The sequence below is a fragment of the Homo sapiens genome, chromosome 4 (genome assembly GCF_000001405.40).
Source record: "Homo sapiens chromosome 4, GRCh38.p14 Primary Assembly".
Taxonomy (NCBI): domain Eukaryota; kingdom Metazoa; phylum Chordata; class Mammalia; order Primates; family Hominidae; genus Homo; species Homo sapiens.
Window position 1 is genome coordinate 95,117,822 of NC_000004.12, and position 21,256 is coordinate 95,139,077.

At 37.1% G+C, this 21,256-nt stretch overlaps 1 protein-coding gene across 12 annotated transcripts in view; it reads left to right on the plus strand.

Annotated features, from left to right (window-relative positions):
- BMPR1B (bone morphogenetic protein receptor type 1B) overlaps positions 1 to 21,256 on the plus strand; it is a 400,496-nt gene that overhangs the window by 359,867 nt on the left and 19,373 nt on the right. For all 12 annotated transcript variants that reach the window (XM_017008559.2, XM_047416093.1, XM_047416091.1 and 9 more), the window contains 4 exons: positions 5,989 to 6,085; positions 7,162 to 7,300; positions 12,041 to 12,233; positions 13,394 to 13,691. In XM_017008559.2, the coding sequence (XP_016864048.1) occupies positions 5,989 to 6,085; positions 7,162 to 7,300; positions 12,041 to 12,233; positions 13,394 to 13,691 (727 nt within the window). The remainder of the gene's footprint in view (positions 1 to 5,988; positions 6,086 to 7,161; positions 7,301 to 12,040; positions 12,234 to 13,393; positions 13,692 to 21,256) is intronic.

Below are 21,256 nucleotides of genomic sequence, written 5' to 3' on the forward strand. Positions count from 1 at the left end.
TGGGGCCAGATTTCAGTCCAGTTAGGAGTGTGAAGGTGAGAGAGCATTATCTGAGGAGGATGTAGGAATTTAGAAAAATAGTAGAATAAAACTCCAAAGGACAGAGTAAAAAGGCTTAGAAAAGGAGGGTAGGAACAATGAGAAGACAAGTTCTTGGTCCAGGGCAGTGTGGAGATGAGGATGCAGGAGTGGCTGGTGGACTCTACTGAGCATTGCGTAAGGTGGCTGGCTTTGGTGGGGTTTAGTAGCATTAGAATGCACTGCTTTGAGCTCTGAGGATCTCAGGTGGTACTTAGGCAAGGTCTTTCCAGATTCCACTGCTTTGCCAGTGCCTAGGCAAGGTCTCTGCAGAGTCTACTCAGGTAGTGTCTAGTTCCAAAGTCTCTGCAGATTCTTACCTTTTTGGGCCAGCTGTTTTGGGGTCAAGTAAATGTCACTGCAGATTGTAGTCTGAGAGCACTGATGTTTTTACATAGCTATACCACAGAGCTGCTGCTTTTTTTTTTTGACTCTACCATATACACATGTACAGTTTTTATTGAAATTGTACTAGATATTTTACTTTCTAGCTATATGATTTTTTTCTTCTATTTCTTATTGCAATTGTGAACCATCTTCTAGTCTTATAAAAACAGTCCTGGCATTTTAAGCAGTTACAAGCTAATTATCGGAGAGGTGATAGTAGTGACAGAATGCAGTTTTGTTGTGAAACCACTGGTGATTCTTAACTTGCCTCTCAGAGTGAACCAGACTTCGCCCGGGAGTTCTCAGTTCTACTTCCCAGAGCAGTTGGAGTGACAGCGCAGGTAGAAATCTGCTGTCCTGGAGAGAGCTGAAAGCTGTGGGCTCTGCTCTTTTCCTGATAGGTATCTGGAACTGTTCACTTTCTGAGACTCTGGCTGTGGCTTGAATGTTTACATTGTTAGTGCTCCGAGCACAGGTAATGGCAGATTAAAACATGACCAGCGTGACCAGCAGAAACAAAAGGTTTATTGATAAGGATCACCTATTCATGAGAGAAGACAAGGAGGCTGCCGGGGATAGGGTTATGGGGCAAATAAAAGGCAAATGGGAAGGTAAAGCTAGCCTTAAATAAAGTGCTTGATGGAAAGGAAAGAATCCCTTGATCCTTCTGGTCTCATTGCTCTCATAAATCAGAAATATAATAAGATAAGTAATACACAGTGTTCTTGCAGCTCAGGGTGTATCCTGTATCTTGCATTTACATGGAAAGTAAAAGGCAGTGAAGCTTGGAGTCTTAGTAAAATTATATCATTGGAATGGAAAAGTATTATGTGTTCATATACTGATAATATATTGACATTATAATTATGTGGATAGTTCTAGTTTTGGTTGAGTATCTAGCATTCTCCTAAAATCTAAAATTTTTGCAAAATCTTTCGTTATCTTTAAAATTGGAAATGCATTTAAGTTAAGTTTCCAGTCGCAGTCTTAACGTATTTGTGTGTTACAGTGTTTGGATGCTTCTATCTGTATAAAAATATTGTGAGTTGTGCTTTCACTGGTTGAGGTATTATGATACCTTGAATTTATTTTTAACTCTTTATATAACCTAAGAGAGGGAGGAATGGAGGAAAAAATTTACTAAGACAATTTATTGTGTTAAATTTTAGCCTGCATAACATTAAGAGCTTACAGATTATTTTCAAGATTTACTAAGCAGCATGTTTAGACAATGAATGCTCAAATTATATATAATTCCTGTTTGTCCTGAATGGCTCCTTGAATGGCTCCTGTTGAGCCCTGAATGACTTTTTACAAGTGCTATAATATGTCAAGTTCCTGAGCTCCCTTTTCCTGGATTATTGGTAACATTTCTTAATTTATTCATATAATAACTGCTTTAGTAGCCTCTCATTTAGTGTTTTCAGATGGAGATTACTTTCATTAATATTTTGCAACTATTACAAATCATAAATAGCTGTTAAACATATATATTTTAGACTGATGAGTAAATCATAACACTGACCATCATGAAGTTTGGATAAGAAATTCATAGTGGATTTTTGTTTGTAATAGATAATCCAAAGATTTTCTGAAATATTTTGAAGATGTTTTTCTTTTTTTAAATTTCAGATTTCATTTGTACTTACAAGGGGTACATGTGGAGACTGTTACAGGAGTTTATTGGACCCAGGTAGTAAGCATAGTACCCAATAGGCAGTTTCTCAACCCATCTCCCCTCACCCCCGTTAATCCACAGTGTCTGTTCTTGCCATGTTTATGTCCATGTGTGCTCAGTGTTTAGTTCCCACTTATAAGTGAGAACATACAGTATTTAGTTTTCTGTTCCTTCATTAATTCACTTAGGACTATGGCCTCCAGCTCCATCCATGTTGCTTCAAAGGATGTTATTTTATTGTCTTTTATGGCTGCGTAGTATTCCATGGTGTATATGTACCACATTTTGTTTATCCAACACACCATTGATGAGCAACTACGTTGATTGTGTGTCTTTGCTATTGTGAATAGTGTGGCAATGAACATACAAATGCATGTGTCTTTTTGGCATATTCCTTTGGATATGTATACAGCATCACTCCTATTCAGCATAGCACTGGAAGTCCTAGTCAGAGCAATCAGACCAGAGAAAGAAATAAAAGGCATCCTTATGAAAAGAAGAAGTTAAAGTATCTTCACTGATGGTATGATCGTATACTTAGAAAAACCTAAAGACTCCATCAAAAGACTACTAGAACTGATAAACGAGTTCAGCAAGGTTTAAGGATACAGAATGAATATACAAAAAATCAGTCAATAGCCTGCCTTTCCTTCCTTCCTTCCTTCCTTCCTTCCTTCCTTCCTTCCTTTCCTTCCTTCCTTCTTCTTTCTTTTCTTTTCTTTCTTTCTTTCTCTCTTTCTCTCTCTCTCTCTTTCTCTCTCTCTCTTTCTGTCTGTCTCTCTCTTTCTCTCTCTCTCTCCCTCCCTTCCTCCCTTCCCTTCCCTCCCCCTGCTCCCCTCCCTCCCTTCCTTACTTCCTTTTCAAGATGGAGTCTCTCTCAGTCACCCAGGCTGGAGTGCAGTGACACGATTTCTGCTCACTGCAACCTCCACCTCCCGGGTTCAAGCAATTCTCCCGACTCAGCCTCCTCAGTAGCTGGGATTACAGGCGTGTGCCATCATGCCCAGCTAATTTTTGTATTTTTGTAGAGACGGGGTTTTGCCATGTTGGCCAGGCTGGTCTTGAACTCCTGAACTCAGGTGATCCGCCCACCTTGGCTTCCCAAACTGCTGGGATTACAGGCGTGAGCCACTGTGCCCAGCCAGTCAGTAGCATTTCTATACACCAATAACATCCAGGCTGAGAGTCAAATCAAGAACACACTCCCATTTACAATAGCCACAAAGAATATGAAATACATAGGAATACAGCTAACCAAGGAGGTAAAAGACCTCTACAAGGAGAACTACAAAACACTGCTGAAAGAAATCAGAGACAACACAAATGGAAAAACATCCTATGCTCATGGATTGGAAGATTTATGTTCAGTTTATGTGTTCATGATAATTTCCTAGATGTTTTGATCTGGGCATGCAGTGTGAAATAAGCGCATCACGGGGCTGTGCATTAACCCTTTGAGCACATTATTGTTTAGTAAGATAGTATCCTTGTTCTTAGGAAGTACCCTCTGAAGTATTTATAAGTGGATAGTGGCATTATGTCTAAAACTTTAAATGATCCAAAAATAATACAGACACACAAATAAGTAAACAAATAAAAAATTTGAATGCAAATGTATGTATGCATATTATACATAAATATTGAGAGAGAGAGGCATTGAGAAGGCAAGATAATTATTTTTAAAATGATGAAATGTTAACAATGAGAAATCTAGGTGAAGGGCACATTGGAATTCTTTTTTCTTATTTTTTTTCTGTAAGGGTGAAATTATTTCAAAATAATTAAAATCTTTGTTCACATTGATGGTAAAATAGAAATTACTGTTACCTTTTAAAAAGAATATTTGACAATATGTATGAAAAGACTTAAAATATATATCTTATGAACTAACACACCTACTTCTGGGAATCTTATTAAGGAAATAATCATTAGCATGTGCAAAGATGTATGTGTAAGAGTGTTTATTACAGAATTGTGTATAACAAAGAAGCCTTATGGCAGAATCTTTAGAATCTCCTGAATGTATGACAGAAGATTCACTTTCTAATTAGGATGATTTTATGTATAATACAGTTTAGTCTTTAAAAGTCAGGTTGTAGCTGGGCACAGTGGTTCACGCCTGTAATCCCAGCACTTTGGGAGACCGAGGATCGCTTGAGGCCAGGAGTTTGAGACCAGCCGGGCCAACGTGGCAAAAAGCCATCTCTGCTAAGCATACAAAAATAAGTGGGGCGTGGTGGCTCGTACCTGTGATCTCAACTACTCAGGGTGCTGAGGCACAGAATCGCTTGAACCCAGAAGGCAGAGGTTGCAGTAAGCTGAGATTGTGCCACTGCACTCCAGCCTCGGCCACAGAGGAAGATCCTGTATCAAAAAAAAAAAAAAGTCATGTTGCAATAATAAATAATTTCAAATAGGTGGGAGGACACTGAATGTTCCCAACACAAAGAAATGATAAGTGTTTGAGATGATGGATATGCTGTCTGATCACTGTTCATTATGTATGTATTAAAATATTATAATTATGTGTCAATATAAAAATCCTGTTGCAGAAAAAAATATTTGTTGTTCTGGAAAATGTTCACAGTATTATAAATGAGAACAACCTAGTTATAAATCAGTATATATTATATTTTGCTTATGAACATTTTTATTGAAATGATACTGTTAGCAGTAATTTTTCCTGAGTGTTGAAGAGGTAGTGATTTTATTTTATTTTGGTTAGTTGATCCTTTTCAGTTTTTCTTCATGTAACATATAATACTTCTGAGTAAAAAAAGTTACATTGAGTGGAAGAACATTCCCAGCCAAAATATTTAGGTGGCCATATAGTTAAAGGTATATAGTACAGTTGGAAAACGTCTTGTCCATAGCATCCAAAGTCATAAATTACAATACTACCTTTTAAAATTAAATGACAGTAATCACTCTCTCAAAGGTAAATGGTGCCTTTAATAAGAATGGTACTAATGGTATTACTATATAAGTGCACCTGGTTTTAAGTCAGTTTCCTCAAAATATGTCCCAGAAATCACCCGTGTAAAATTTACCTGGGATGATTATTAAAAATAAAGTACTTTGAATGGAAATCTTTGGGGTTAAAGTCAGTGAATATACATTGTATAAAGTTAAGTCATTTATATAAAATTTGAGGAATCTGATTTGTCAAGAACTAGAGTTAAAATGAGTAGTGTTTAATAATTTGTTGTATAAAAGTATCATACATTCTTTGGCTGGAACATATACATTCTTTTAAAATATGATTCAGTTTAAGAAAAAGTATGGATTTTGAACACATTTTTGTTTAAAACAACGCACAACCATATATTCTCTATTTGGCAACATTTGAGGGGTCCACTTCCTTTTTATCCACTATAAGATGACTTTATATACAACGAGTTATGTTTTATGTCCCATGAATTATATAGATGCTTTTTTATTCAAATTCATGGTATAGAGTACTCCAGAGACCACATGAGAAGAGCCTATGAACCCATGAGCTGCGTCTGTAATAAAGATGAACTACCTGTTTCTATTGTGGGTGCACAGACCCACTTAGCTTTGTTGATGTTCTTTCTGTAGTTTTATCCTGTGTCGAGCCTGTTCCTTCCAGACAGGAAGAAATGTGTGCTCTTGATTAAGTGCCTAGGTGAAGGATGATTCACGCTAGTCAAACTTATTTAATTTTGAGTATATATGGGTTTTTAAAAAATTAATTGGTATGTGAAAAGGATCTTTCACATTTTGTGCGTGATACTTAGCAAGTACCTTTAGGAAAGAGTTACTTTCTTATTTTTAAGTAAAAATATTCTCTTGATTATGGCTCTTTTTCTTTTTAATTTCAGATTTTGTTGATGGACCTATACACCACAGGGCTTTACTTATATCTGTGACTGTCTGTAGTTTGCTCTTGGTCCTTATCATATTATTTTGTTACTTCCGGTAAGTTTCTAACATGTAGATGCAAAATTTTTAATTTATAGTGTCTTCTTTTTACTAATATTCTGCTTTTGCCTGTTAGTGTTTCTCACCACAGCTTTATTTATCTTAATTAGATCTTATAGTTAACTGAAAATGTCTGTTACTGTTGATAAATATTTGTCCTAATGAAGTTACAAATAGATACCTATCTCATTTCTGCTTCAGACTTCAAAACTACCCATATAAATATTTTATCCCTAGGGAAACTAGGGTAGTTAGAGACTTCAGAGACTGGTTGTTACTTAGGTTTGATTCCAAGCAGAGAAATGGCCATGTTGAACTTAAGAGTTGCTCAAATTCCTTATTTTCTAAGCTATAACGTTTCTGATTATTAAAAGATTTTAAACATAATTTATAGATTAATCATTAAAATAAGGTCCTTTATTATATTAAATTCGGTAATTCCTATTTTTTTAATGGCCTATGAACTTATGTTCTAGATTGTGAAATATTAAGGACCTTGATATTTATGTCATTTGCCTTTTGATTAATTTATTACTCATTTGAGATACTCTGCAAATGGTCAGATTAATTGATTCAAATAAATTCATTTCTAATTGAAAACTTAAGTATTGACAAAAAGTTTTTAAAGATTAAATTTATATTATTTCTTTAGATATGACCTTATATAAGAGAGTTAGCTATAATGATTTTTGTACACCCAAAATTTACATCTTTAATTAATTAGGGACCTTAGAAAAGATTTTAAGGAATAATATTGGAGCTATTTAGAAACACTAGTAGAATGTAGTCTGCTTGGATATGTGCAATTTGAAATAAATAAAAGAAGAAAAATTGTAGATGCTTGAGACTGAGTAAAAATATGTAGTTTATTTAGTTTATTTTAAAAAATAGGTTAGCCAAACAGTAATGAGTTTTACTTGGGAAACCATAACTAAGAGTAAAAAATATGAAGCATTTAATGTATTATATTTAGGTGCTAAAATAAAACTGCTGTGATTACCATTTTAGTTGCAATATTTTACTCCATCATTGCATTTCATTATCTAAAATTATCTTCATCTATCCATCTTTAGGTATAAAAGACAAGAAACCAGACCTCGATACAGCATTGGGTTAGAACAGGATGAAACTTACATTCCTCCTGGAGAATCCCTGAGAGACTTAATTGAGCAGTCTCAGAGCTCAGGAAGTGGATCAGGCCTCCCTCTGCTGGTATGAGAAGAACACATCTTGAATTTAAAGGAAATGTTTTCTGAAAGAACTGTCAATGAATATGGGGTTTCACTTACTGAAATAGGGCACTGGACAAGGAGAAAGCTCTATGCAGTCTGTTGGACATCCGATCTCAGCTGCAGGGCTTCCTGATAACATTTTGACATATTGAGAGTAAGGTGATTGTTTTTTAATGTAGGTGTATGGTTACAATCCAGACCCTCAGACATTCTGATGAAGAGCAGATTAGAAAACATTAAACACGGGACCATCTTCCCTGTGTTTTCCATAAGGATAGCATTACCGCACTTTGGCCTGGCTTTTGAAGGCTAAAGTATTACAACCAACTGGCTTCTCAGTATTTCTACAAAGAAAGAGGGTTGCTTTTCAGCTGTGGGGTTTATGTTTCAGGGTAAAGTTCTGGCTTTTCCATTCAGGAGAAGCTTCATTTTCTGATGGTCAGCACTGCCAACCTTGAAGAGAATATATGAGCAAATACAATTTGAAAATCAATAGTATTACACTTATTTTTTTCTAAAAGAGATGTACAAATAGTAAAATCCCTTTTGGTATTAATGAATTAGATGCTCTTGGAATTTAAACTGAGTTCTTCCAGTGTTTCTTGCCTTCAAACTCATCTTTCCCATTACTGTGGAGTTCTTTCTCCAAAACCATTGATCTTGCACTGTTATGTCCTGGGTAAAATATCCTAATACCCAATACTGCTTGCAGGTCTTCTTTCCCAGCTTGGTATGTGTGGCACATAAACTCAACCTGCCTTCCTGACGTCTCCTCCCACCTCTTCCCAGTATGCTGCCTGGGCTCTAGCATCACCTTTGAGTAATTGTTTCTCAAATACAACATATATCCACGTCATTGCAAATGTAATCTCTTTACTGGACATCACTCCAACTCATGGCTCAAGGCCTACCTCATGTTTTACCTCTGTGACAACTTCTCAGTTACCCCAGACTAAGCCAGTCTATTTATCTTCTGTGATAACATTTTATTTTTAGCACTAATAATGGCCATTTAAAATAATGTTATAATTAGTGGTAATGTTCTTGTGTCTTTTGGTGGAGTCTGTCCTCTTTGGGGTAGAGGTTACATTTTGCTCACTTTCTATCCCCAGTAGAGTGGCTGATTTATTATAGGCGCTGTTCAATAATTTGTTTTTAAAAAGCTTTCAGCTCCTACTTTTAATAGCTATAAAAATACTGTCTTGTTTCTATAATCCAGATACCAAAAAATAATATTTGGCTCACATCATATAATGATTAAAAGCATATATTCTCAAGCCAAATTGTCTGGGTTCCAATCCTGGCCAGACATTGGCCTTTAAAACTAAATCAAATTCTCATTTAGTCCTCATAGCAACCCTATAAGGTAGTACCAGAAATATCAGTATAACCCTGTATTACACATCAGGGGATACAGGCCCAGATAGGTCAGCTAGCTAGTACGTGGAGAAGCCAGGATTCAAACCCAGATGATCTGTGCTCTTAACATTAGTGAGATGTGAACTAAATGTTGGTTAAATAAAACAAGAAAGTGCATTTGATGGCGGTAGGATGGGAAGGAGGGTTCTATAAAACTCAGTTCAATAAAGAAAAAGTCTCTATTACAGATTTATTTTCTGGTTTTAAGATTTGGTTATTAAGATAAACAATGCAGAGGTATACAGTTCTCTCTCCATATATTGATATGTGAGTGAATACCTCATCTTAACATTGATTTGTTATTAATTTTAATAACATAATGGGCAAATTAGTGCCTTATATATAACCACATACTTGGACCTTGTGTTTAACAAATGACTTTATACGTGCCCTTTAATTTTGCATCTTTTCTTTTTCATAAAATGTCAATTTTTTCCTACTTTAAAAGGAAATAATATCGTAGGGCTGTTGTAAGAATTAAGACTGTGTGTGTGTGTGTGTGTGTGTGTGTTCTGTGTATGTCTTCTCACAGTCCTGGAATAGTGATAATTCTTTATAACTCCTTATACATTCAGTTATTCTCAGAGTACATGAAATATAGTGATCTTTTTGAAAGTACAGTTATAGTCATTGTATCTTACAGGCATTTTATTTATACAATCAATCTAAAAAGTTGGTATCTAAGAATGTAATATAGAATTAAAGTTTAGGTACAGAAGGACCAGAAACATTTGCTAAATCAAATAAAAACTAAAATAAATCAGTTAAAAAATTTTGAAGTTATATTTTTAGGTCCTTACATGTTATAATAGCTTACTTTCTGTCTTTGGGATAAGTTGTTCCTATTCTATCAAGTATCGCCAATTCTGTCAAAACTTATAATTAAATTATAAAATGTATTATCGTTAGAAAAAAAAGCAGATGCAAAACTGCTTATGTTAGGAAATTCTCCATAGACTTACATGAGCAATGCTTTGTAAGATCTGTAAATTAAATATTTTTCTTTAATAAATGTGGGAAGTTTCCTCTCAAATGAGTGATTTCCCTGTGTATGAATTTGGCTCCCAACTGGTGCCCATGTTGCTCCTGTTTCCTTGTTTGGAAATGGAGTACAGTGGACTCAACATGATGTCTCATGGCGCACAGGGCTCCTAAAGAGAGGACGGCTGCATTACACATAAACTTGCTTGCTTATTTCCATCAAGCTTCAGTGGCTTCATGGTACATCAGCAGTTCTTTTTTAATAAATTACGAAATTTATAATCTTCATTATAAATAATATATAATATATAATGTCCCCCCAAAATGTTCATGCCCTAATCCCCAGGATTTTTTTTTTTTTAAGACAAGGTCTTACTCTGTCACTTAGGCTGGAGTGTTGTGGTGCGATCTTGTCTCATTACAGCCTTGACCTCCCAGGCTCAAGCGATCCTCCCACCTCAGCCTCCCAAGTAGCTTGTCACTACGGGTGTGTGCTACCACACCTGGCTAATTTTCATATTATTTGTAGAGCTGAGTTTTTGCCATGTTGCCCAGGCTGGTCTTGAACTCCTGGACTCAAGGGATCCTCCCTCCACAGCCTCCCAAAGTGCTGGGATTACAGGCATGAGCCACCGTGCCCAGACCTAATCCCTAGAATTTTATGTTCTATGACAAAGGTGAGCAAAGGTTGCTGACGATAAGATGAGATCATTCTGGATTATCTGGGGTGGCCCAATGTAATTGCATGGCTCTTAAAAGTACAAAAAGAAAAACTTTAAGTTTTTAATTGGTGTAAAGTATATCTCTACAAAGAATACGTTCCAGTTTGCTGATCAGGTGTTATAAGAGTTATACGCTAGATTCCTTATGTCCTCTAAATTATATAAATTGTAATAGATGCTTAGCCCTTTCAATCTTGGAACCATTGATATCAGAGTTCTTCAAATATTTTACTGTAAGTACAGATGTGATGAAGATCATATATAAAGAGACATTTAAATTTAATGCCACTTAACTCATATTTTCATTCTCTTTGTCTGTACTCCACTCTTTATAATATTGTTCAGAGCTCTCTTAGAGCTTGGTAAATAATATTATCTCCAACTTGTTACTTTCTCTTATTAACTTTTCTCTCTAATATGCTGGTTTGTCTACCTGTTTTGCATTTTTTATTGTGACAATTAACTGTCTCATTACAAAAATGTAATTTCCATTAATCTTTTCTTGCTTATTTTTTATTCAATTTTCATTTCATTTAGAGTTACTTGGCATTCTGTATCTCAGAATTCCAGTATGTAATCTGAAGAGGTTAAATCTACTTGGGTTGTTTCTGTTGACTCTCATTTATAGTGACTGTTTCTTTGTTCTAAAGAATTCATTCTCTATAATCTTCTCTCATTCTCTTTCTTTCTTCTCTCCCTCCATTTTTTTTTGTTCTCCTTTTTCCTCCCCATTCTTGGATATTTCCTTTATTTCCCTGTGAGCCCAGGAGTGCATTACAGTTTATTTCTTATGTTATACCCATGATCAAGTTGTATGGTGGCAAGAGTTCCTTCAAAGTACTATTATCCCGCCATAGTCACGGCATGAAAAGTATTCTGCAAATGGTTTCCTCAAGAGAGAGCATTTGTAATGAGGAGCCTTGGCATGCTACCAACCCATAGCAAATTTAGTACCATTTGATGCTCTCTGCTTAATGCTGAAGCCCTAGGTTCAGTTCCTCTGGTTTTAAAGGAGTCAGAGTTTAAACTCTGGATTCCAGTTCTGGTATTGTTCTTTGCCCAGACGGCAGCTTGGTTTATCGTTCCCTGGTCTGGTCTCAACTCCTTCCTTCCCTCCCTCCTTCCTCCCTCCCTCCCTTTTTTCTTCCTCCCTGCATATAGATTTCCTTTATTTCTGTATGTGCCTAACAATGCATTACAATTTTGTTTTGTTATATTTATACATGATTAGGTGTATGGTGACGAGTCTCTTCAGAGTATGTAGTAGTCCATTATAACGGGGAAGTGCAAGTATTCTACTCTGCTGATTACTATGAGCCTACTCAGGTTTTTTCTCTGAGAAAATAATAATACTAAAATAAAGTATTTCATAATTTGGAAGCAGTGTTTTGAACATTCAGAATCCACACTCAATCTCAAATATGTTTAAAAGAGTGTAACATAAATTAATAAATAAATACAAATAAGTTGTCTATATAGAGAAAAATACTAGCTAAATATATTTTACATGCAGTAATCGTTTCTTCTCTGGAGAAAAAAAGATTAAACAAATCTGTAGCGCTGTGAATACACTAACAGTGTGTTTTGGGATTTCACAGGTCCAAAGGACTATAGCTAAGCAGATTCAGATGGTGAAACAGATTGGAAAAGGTCGCTATGGGGAAGTTTGGATGGGAAAGTGGCGTGGCGAAAAGGTAGCTGTGAAAGTGTTCTTCACCACAGAGGAAGCCAGCTGGTTCAGAGAGACAGAAATATATCAGACAGTGTTGATGAGGCATGAAAACATTTTGGGTGAGTAAAAGTCTGCATAGCTATGTTCAGGGTTTCCTAGCTTTCCTCTGTCTTTCTGTTAACATCTGCATGTTAACTCATCTGTCTAGACCCGTTGCGAAATGTATTGAAGTTTTCTTCTTGGCATGGGCCCAAGAACATCATAAGTTTCTAATGGGAGACCTCACAGGAGGAATGACTAAGGCACTTCTGTGAGTAAGTGGTAGGCTGGAAATGGAATACTCTCAAATATTTTTTCTTCAGAAACAGGAAATGCGAGTGTAAAACCAGAATTTCTTAGGGTTTCTTAGGAATTTGAAGGAACTTATTTTTGTTTAAATGTTGAGAAAAGTTGTAGGAATCTTATCTGCAGGGTTTATTTATATCAATAGTTTATATTGAGAATTGATTTTGTTTCGCAAGTTAGAAATGATCTGTCTGGATCGTTCAAGTAGAAGGAGAGTAAGCTAATCAGTGGGGTATATTCCTTAATTCAAGAATTCAAGACCCTGTTTTGCAATGTCTTATGTGTAACCATAATACCATAAAGTAGTTTATATACCATAGTAGTTTGTAATACCATAAAGTAGTTTAAACATCAACTACTGATTAGGAAGGGACCATATTTTCAGATGTAAACTCTTAATCTTTCTCTACTCCTACAGGTTTTTTTCTTTTTCTTTTCTTTTCTTTTTTTTTTTTTTTTTTTTTTTTTGAGATAAAGTCTCGCTCTGTCACCCAGGCTGGAGTGCAATGGTGTGATCTCCGCTCACGGTAATCTCTGCTTCCCAGGTTAAAGCAATTCTCCTGCTTAGCTTCCCGAGTAGTTGGGATCACAGGCACATGCCACCATGCCCAGCTAATTTTTGTATTTTTAGTAGAGATGGGGTTTCACCATGTTGACCAGAGTGGTCTTGAACTCCTGACCTCAAGTGATCCACCCGCCATGGCCTCCCGATGTGCTTGGATTACAGGTGTGAGCCACTGTGCCTAGCCTTACTTGTACAATTTTGATTGCTTCTTATTGGTATTAGTCATTTAATACCATCATAGGCATAGTCAGGAAATTGAATGAAATGCTAAACAAAAATTATCTATGACAAAGAATGATGTTTGAGAATATGAATTATTCCTGATACTATTTGGAAAACACTAAACCTTTTCATCTTTTTTCCTTTTAGGTTTCATTGCTGCAGATATCAAAGGGACAGGGTCCTGGACCCAGTTGTACCTAATCACAGACTATCATGAAAATGGTTCCCTTTATGATTATCTGAAGTCCACCACCCTAGACGCTAAATCAATGCTGAAGTTAGCCTACTCTTCTGTCAGTGGCTTATGTCATTTACACACAGAAATCTTTAGTACTCAAGGCAAACCAGCAATTGCCCATCGAGATCTGAAAAGTAAAAACATTCTGGTGAAGAAAAATGGAACTTGCTGTATTGCTGACCTGGGCCTGGCTGTTAAATTTATTAGGTTAGTATCAAAGTGAACAAATACATGTTTTATGACTCTTTTCTGTTACTTTTTATTTTGTAGCGCAGTGCTTCTAGGATATTTAGTAGAAGAGGAATATCATTAATTTTGACATTTGACGGGGAGAACCACCAAACATTTTATTAGCAACACAGCATATTTGGGTCTGTTCTATTGTTTCTATGCTCATCAGAGACATTGCTTAGAGACTGTTCACATTAGGTTTGCAGCTGTCATTAAGTTATATAGAAAAGAAGTAGCTAATTCCTGGGAATACGTAGTCAGAATTCTGCATAACATTTGCAAGTAGGAAAAAGTTTTGGGGAAAATTTACAGATTATATATGGATAAAGACAATTTTTATATGGTATAGGAAAGATAACTTGCATAGATGTTTTGGGAGAAATGTTAGAAACTAATAAACAAAACCCAGCTGTTATTCAGTACTGTTATCCTGTACCTGAAACAGTGAATTTAACATCTGTGCACATAAACCAGAGCATGTTGTAAAACAGTGGTTTTCAGACCCTTAGGGCTGCTTGGGTTACATCAGTAGCTTCTTCACAGTAGGGAGGGGAGATGATAGTTGGGACTCTATTTTGCTTACTCTTACTTTAATCAGAGAGGCTCCTTCCGTCTCACAGATGATTTAATTCGAATAAATGGTTTCTCTGTTTGGAAAACAAAACAAAATGAGCTTGCAAACCACTGGTGTAGAGAAATCATCGTATAACTACCTTTTAAAGAACTCAGTTTAGGCTTAGCCATTAATAAATGTTGGATCATCTTGTGGATTTTTCTAAGTAAGACTCTGTAATACATGGAGAGGAGCACAAAGAAAAAGTCATGGAGATTATTAAAAGTTTGGAAAGTAAAATTCACAAAAAAAGACTGATTGATTGGTATTTTCGGCCAGAACTGAAGGCTGAGGTGTGATTTAATAACATACCCCAAATATATGAAGGTCTTCACCATGTAAAGGATGGGAAATTGAAGTTCTTGATCTTTAAAAACAAAGCAAGAGGAAATGATTTGGGCTATAGATTTAAGTTAGAAATATGAACCTCCTGCCAATAAAGATTATTAAATCCTTTCTCCCTTCTGATTTTTTTTTCCTCTGACCTACAACCCTTTTCAAGTCTTCCTATAAAAAAAAAAAATCCCACAATGCTTCTTAAATTACCAGCCTCTCTCTCCTTCTCTCACCCTGTTAAATTTCTCCCAAGAGTTCCAAAAGATCATCTGCTTCGAAAACCCAGCAATTTGTTAATAGTCTTGTAATTTGGCTTCTGTTCCATTCTCTTTGGACACTGCTGTATTCAGAGACACCACTGGGCTTGGTCACCAGAGGCCTTCTCTATTGCCATCACCCTATCCACAGTGTCCAAACCTTTCTTTCTCCTGTTTTCTTGGTGTATCTCTGTACTCCAACTTCTCCTTTCTCTCTCTCCACTGGCTCTGCTCTCTTTTTACCTCTTACATATTTTCCGACTGCTAGATTTCCTGCTGTATCTGCATTTCCTTCCTAGTTCCCAGTTTTGGCTGATCCATTCTTAATATTAGGTATCTGACATCATCTTTCGTTCCCTAACTTTTGGTTTGCTCAAGTGAATGAATTTTCTTTCCACAATATTCCCATTTGTACTGGGCCAGTGTGGGCCTTCTATACCATTTTTCTAGATTCTGGGGTGAAGCATTTTGAGTTACTTTCTCTTTGTCTCTCCTATTTCCAGTCTTCTGTACATGCTGCCACTGAATTTATTTTCTTGAAGCCTAATTTTGGGCATCAAAATAATTTCATAGTTTCCTGTGGCTTCGTATTAAAATGTAGTTAGAGTCCCTTGGTGCAGTGGACTCTTTTCTTTTCTGACCCTGGGCTATTCTTCTGCCCTATTTCCACCACACTTCTTACCTTTGGCAAGATTTATTCTGAAGACTTCACACTTCTCATACCATCAAGTGTTTATAACATGCTTTTATCATTACCCGAACACCCATATCCCCTTCTGTATCTAGATCACAACTACTGATCTTCACAGTTTCTTCCTTTGAGACACCTTTTTTTATTTTTATTTTTTAGACAAAGAGTGGCTCTGTCACCCAGACTGGAGTGCAGTGGCACCATCACAACTCACTGCAGCCTTGACCTTCGAGGCCCAAGCAGTCCTCCCACCTCAGCCTCCTGAGTAATTGGAACTTCAGGCATGTGCCACCATGCCTGGCTAATTTTTTTTTTTTTTAATAGATGGGATCTCACTATGTTGCCAGGCTGGCCTCAAACTCCTGGACTCAAGTGATCTTCCTGCATCAGCCTCCCAAAACGCTGGGATTATAGGCATGAGCCACCATGCCTGGCCCACCTGCTGTTTTTTTTTTCATTATACTTTTAAGTTCTAGGGTACACGTGCACAACGTGCAGGTTTGTTACATATGTATACGTGTGCCATGTTGGTGTGATGCACCCATTAACTTGTCATTTACATTAGGTGTATCTCCTAATGCTATCCCTCCCCCCTCCACCCCACGACAGGCCTGGTGTGTGATGTTCCCCACCCTGTGTCCAAGTGTTCTCATTGTTCAATTCCCACATATGAGTGAGAACATGCGATGTTTGGTTTTCTGTCCTTGCGATAGTTTGCTCAGAATGATGGTTTCCAGTTTCATCCATGTCCCTACAAAGAATATGAACTCATCCTTTTTCATGGCTGCATAGTATTCCATGGTGTATATGTGCCACATTTTCTTAATCCAGTCTATCATCGATGTACATTTGGGTTGGTTCCCAGTCTTTGCTATTGTGAATAGTGCCACAGTAAATGTGTGCATGTGTCTTTATAGCAGCATGATTTATAATCCTTTGGGTATATACTCAGTAATGGGATGGCTGGGTCAAATGTATTTCTAGTTCTAGATCCTTGAGGAATCACCACACTGTCTTCCACAATGGTTGAACTAGTTTACAGCCCCACAAACAGTGTAAAAGTGTTCCTATTTCTCCACATCCTCTCCAGCACCTGTTGTTTCCTGACTTTTTAATGATCACCATTCTGACTGGTGTGAGATGGCATCTCATTGTGGTTTTGATTTGCATTTCTCTGATGGCCAGTGATGATGAGCATTTTTTCATGTGTCTTTTGGCTGCATAAATGTCTTCTTTTGAGAAGTGTCTGTTCATATCCTTCGCCCACTTTTTGATGGGGTTGTTTTTTTCTTGTAAATTTGTTTGAGTTCTTTGTAGATTCTGGATTAGCCCTTTGTCAGATGAGTAGATTGCAAAGATTTTCTCCCATTCTGTAGATTGCCTGTTCACTCTGATGGTAGTTTCTTTGCTGTGCAGAAGCTCTTTAGTTTAATTAGATCCCATTTGTCAATTTTGGCTTTTGTTGCCATTGCTTTTGGTGTTTTAGACATGAAGTCCTTGCCCATGCCTGTGTCCTGAATGGTAATGCCTGGGTTTTCTTCTGTGGTTTTTATGGTTTTAGGTCTCACATTTAAATCTTTAATCCATCTTGAATTAATTTTTGTATAAGGTGTAAGGAAGAGATCCAGTTTCAGCTTTCTCCATATGGCTAGCCAGTTTTCCCAGCCCCATTTATTAAATAGGGAATCCTTCCCCCATTTCTTGTTTTTCTCAGGTTTGTCAAGGGTCAGATAGTTGTAGATGTGTGGTATTATTTCTGAGGCCTCTGTTCTGTTCCATTGGTCTATATCTCTGTTTTGGTACCAGTACCATGCTGTTTTGGTTACTGTAGCCTTGTAGTATAGTTTGAAGTCAGGTAGTGTGATGCCTCCAGCTTTGTTCTTTTGGCTTAGGATTGACTTAGCAATGCGGGCTCTTTTTTGGTTCCATATAAACTTTAAAGTAGTTTTTTCCAATTCTGTGAAGAAAGTCATTGGTAGCTTGATGGGGATGGCATTGAATCTATAAATTACCTTGGGCAGTATGGCCATTTTCACGATACTGATTCTTCCTATCCATGAGCATGGAAAGTTCTTCTATTAGTTTGTGTCCTCTTTTATTTCATTGAGCAGTGGTTTGTAGTTCTCCTTGAAGAGGTCCTTCACATCCCTTGTAAATTGGATTCCTAGGTATTTTATTCTCTTTGAAGCAATTGTGAATGGGAGTTCACTCATGATTTGGCTCTCTGTTTGTCTGTTATTTGTGTATAAGAATGCTTGTGATTTTTGCACATTGATTTTGTATCCTGAGACTTTGCTGAAGTTTCTTATCAGCTTAAGGAGATTTTGGGCTGAGATGATGGGGTTTTCTAGATATACAATCATGTCATCTGCAAACAGGGACAATTTAACTTCCTCTTTTCCTAATTGAATACCCTTTATTTCTTTCTCCTGCTGGATTGCTTTGGCCAGAACTTCCAACACTATGTCGAATAGGAGTGCTGAGAGAGGGCATCCCTGTCTAGTGCCAGTTTTCAAAGGGAGTGCTTCCAGTGTTTGCCCATTCAGTATGATATTGGCCATGGGTTTGTCATAAATAGCTCTTATTATTTTGAGATACGTCCCATCAATAACTAGTTTTTTGAGAGTTTTTAGCATGGAGGGCTGTTAAATTTTGTTGAAGGCCTTTTCTGCATCTATTGAGATGATCATGTGGTTTTTGTCTTTGCTAGGCAATAATTAATAGCCTACCAACCAAAAAAAGTCCAGGACCAGACGGACTACATTTATTGATTATGTTCATTGATTTGTGTATGTTGAACCAGCCTTGCATCCCAGGGATGAAGCCCACTTGATCATGGTGGATAAGCTTTTTGATGTGCAGCTGGATTCGTTTTGCCAGTATTTTATTGAGGATTTTTGCATCGATGTTCATCAGGGATATTGGGTCTAAAATTCTCTTTTTTTGTTGTGTCTCTGCCAGGCTTTGGTATCAGGATGATGCTGGCCTCATAAAATGGGTTAGGGAGGATTCCCTCTCTTTCTGTTGATTGGAATAGTTTCAGAAGGCATGGTACCAGCTCCTCTTTGTACCTCTGGTAGAATTCAACCATGAATCCATGTGGTCCTAGACTTTTTTTCGTTGGTAGGCTATTAATTATTGCCTCAATTTCAGAGCCTGTTATTAGTCTATTCAGGGATTCAGCTTCTTCCTGGTTTAGTCTTGGGAGGGTGTATGTGTCGAGGAATTTATCCATTTCTTCTATTTTCTAGTTTATTTGCGTAGAGGTGTTTATAGTATTCTCTGATGTTAGTTTGTATTTCTGTGGGATCGGTGGTGATATCCCCTTTATCATTTTTTTATTGCATCTATTTGATTCTTCTCTCTTTTCTTCTTTATTAGTCTTTCTAGCAGTCTTATCAATTTTGTTGATCTTTTCAAAACACCAACTCCTGGATTCATTGATTTTTTGAAGGGTTTTTTGTGTCTCTACCTCCTTCAGTTCTGCTCTGATCTTAGTTATTTCTTGCCTTCTGCTAGCTTTTGAATGTGTTTGCTCTTGCTTCTCTTGTTCTTTTAATTGTGATGTTAGGGTATCAGTTTTAGATCTTTCCTGCTTTCTTTTGTGGGCATTTAGTGCTATGAATTTCCTTCTACACACTGCTTTAAATGTGTCCCAGAGATTCTGGTATGTTTGTGTCTTTGTTCTTATTGGTTTCAAAGAACATCTTTATTTCTGCCTTCATTTCGTTATGTACCCAGTAGTCATTCAGGAGCAGGTTCAGTTGCCATGTAGTTGAGCGGTTTTGAGTAAGTTTCTTAATCCTGAGTTCTAGTTTGATTGCACTGTGGTCTGAGAGATAGTTTGTTATAATTTCTGTTCATTTACATTTGCTGAAGAGTGCTTTACTTCCAACTATGTGGTCAATTTTGGAATAAGTGCAATGTGGTGCTGAGAAGAATGTATATTCTGTTGATTTGGGGTGGAGAGTTCTGTAGATGTCTATTAGGTCTGCTTGGTGCAGAGCTGAGTTCAATTCCTGGATATCCTTCTTAACTTTCTGTCTCGTTGATCTGTCTAATGTTGACAGTGGGGTGTTAAAGTCTCCCATTATTATTGTGTGGGAGTCTAAGTCTCTTTGTAGGTCTCTAAGGACTCGCTTTATGCATCTGGGTGCTCCTGTATTGGGTGCATATATATTTAGGATAGTTAGCTCTTGTTGAATTGATCCCTTTACCATTATGTAATGGCCTTCTTTGTCTCTTTTGATCTTTGTTAGTTTAAAGTCTGTTTTATCAAAAACTAGTATTGCAACCCCTGCTTTTTTCTGTTTTCCATTTGCTTGGTACATCTTCCTCCATCCCTTTATTTTGAGCCTATGTGTGTCTCTGCACATGAGATGGGTCTCCTGAATACAGCACACTGATGGGTCTTGACTCTTTATCCAATTTGCCAGTCCGTATCTTTTAATTGGAGCATTCAGCCCATTTACATTTAAGGTTAATATTGTTATGTGTGAGTTTGATCCTGTCATTATGATGTTAGCTGCATATTTTGCTCGTTAGTTGATGCAGTTTCTTCCTAGCATCGATGGTCTTTACAATTTGGCATGTTTTTGCAGTGGCTGCTACCGGTTGTTCCTTTCTATGTTTAGTGCTTCCTTCAGGAGCTCTTGTAAGGCAGGCCTGATGGTGACAAAATCTCTCAGCATTTGCTTGTCTGTAAAGTATTTTATTTCTCTTTCACTTATGAAGCTTAGTTTGGCTGGATGTGAAATTCTGGGCTGAACATTCTTTTCTTTAAGAATGTTGAATATTGGCCCCCACTCTCTTCTGGCTTGTGGAGTTTCTGCTGAGAGATCAGCTGTTAGTCTGATGGGCTTCCCTTTGTGGCTAACCCGACCTTTCTCTCTGACTGCCCTTAACATTTTTTCCTTCATTTCAATTTTGGTGAATTTCACAATTCTGTGTCTTGGAGTTGCTCTTCTTGAGGAGTATCTTTGTGGTGTTTTCTGTATTTCCTGAATTTGAATGTTGGCTTGCCTTGCTAGGTTGGGGAAGTTCTCCTGGATAATGTCCTGAAGAGTGTCTTCCAACTTGGTTCCATTCTCCCCATCACTTTCAGGTACACCAATCAGACGTAGATTTGGTCTTCTCACATAGTCCCATATTTCTTGGAGGGTTTGTTCATTACTTTTTACTCTTTTTTCTCTACACTTCTCTTCTCACTTCATTTCATTCATTTGATCTTCCATCACTGATACCCTTTCTTTCACTTGATCGAATCGACTACTGAAGCTTGTGCATGCATCACGTAGTTCTTGTGCCATGGTTTTCAGCTCCATCAAGTCATTTAAGATCTTCTCCATGCTGTTTATTCTAGTTAGCCATTCGTCTAATCTTTTTTCAAGGTTTTTAGCTTCTTTGCAATGAGTTTGGCCATCCTCCTTTAGCTCGGAGAAGTTTGTTAATGCCGATTGTCTGAAGCCTTCTTCTCTCAACTCGTCAAAGTCATTCTCCGTGCAGCTTTGTTCCATTGCTGGTGAGGAGCTCCCTTCCTTTGGAGGAGAAGAGGTGCTCGATTTTTAGAATTTTCAGCTTTCTTGCTCTGGTTTCTCCCCATCTTTGTGGTTTTATCTGCCTTTGGTCTTTGATGATGGTGATG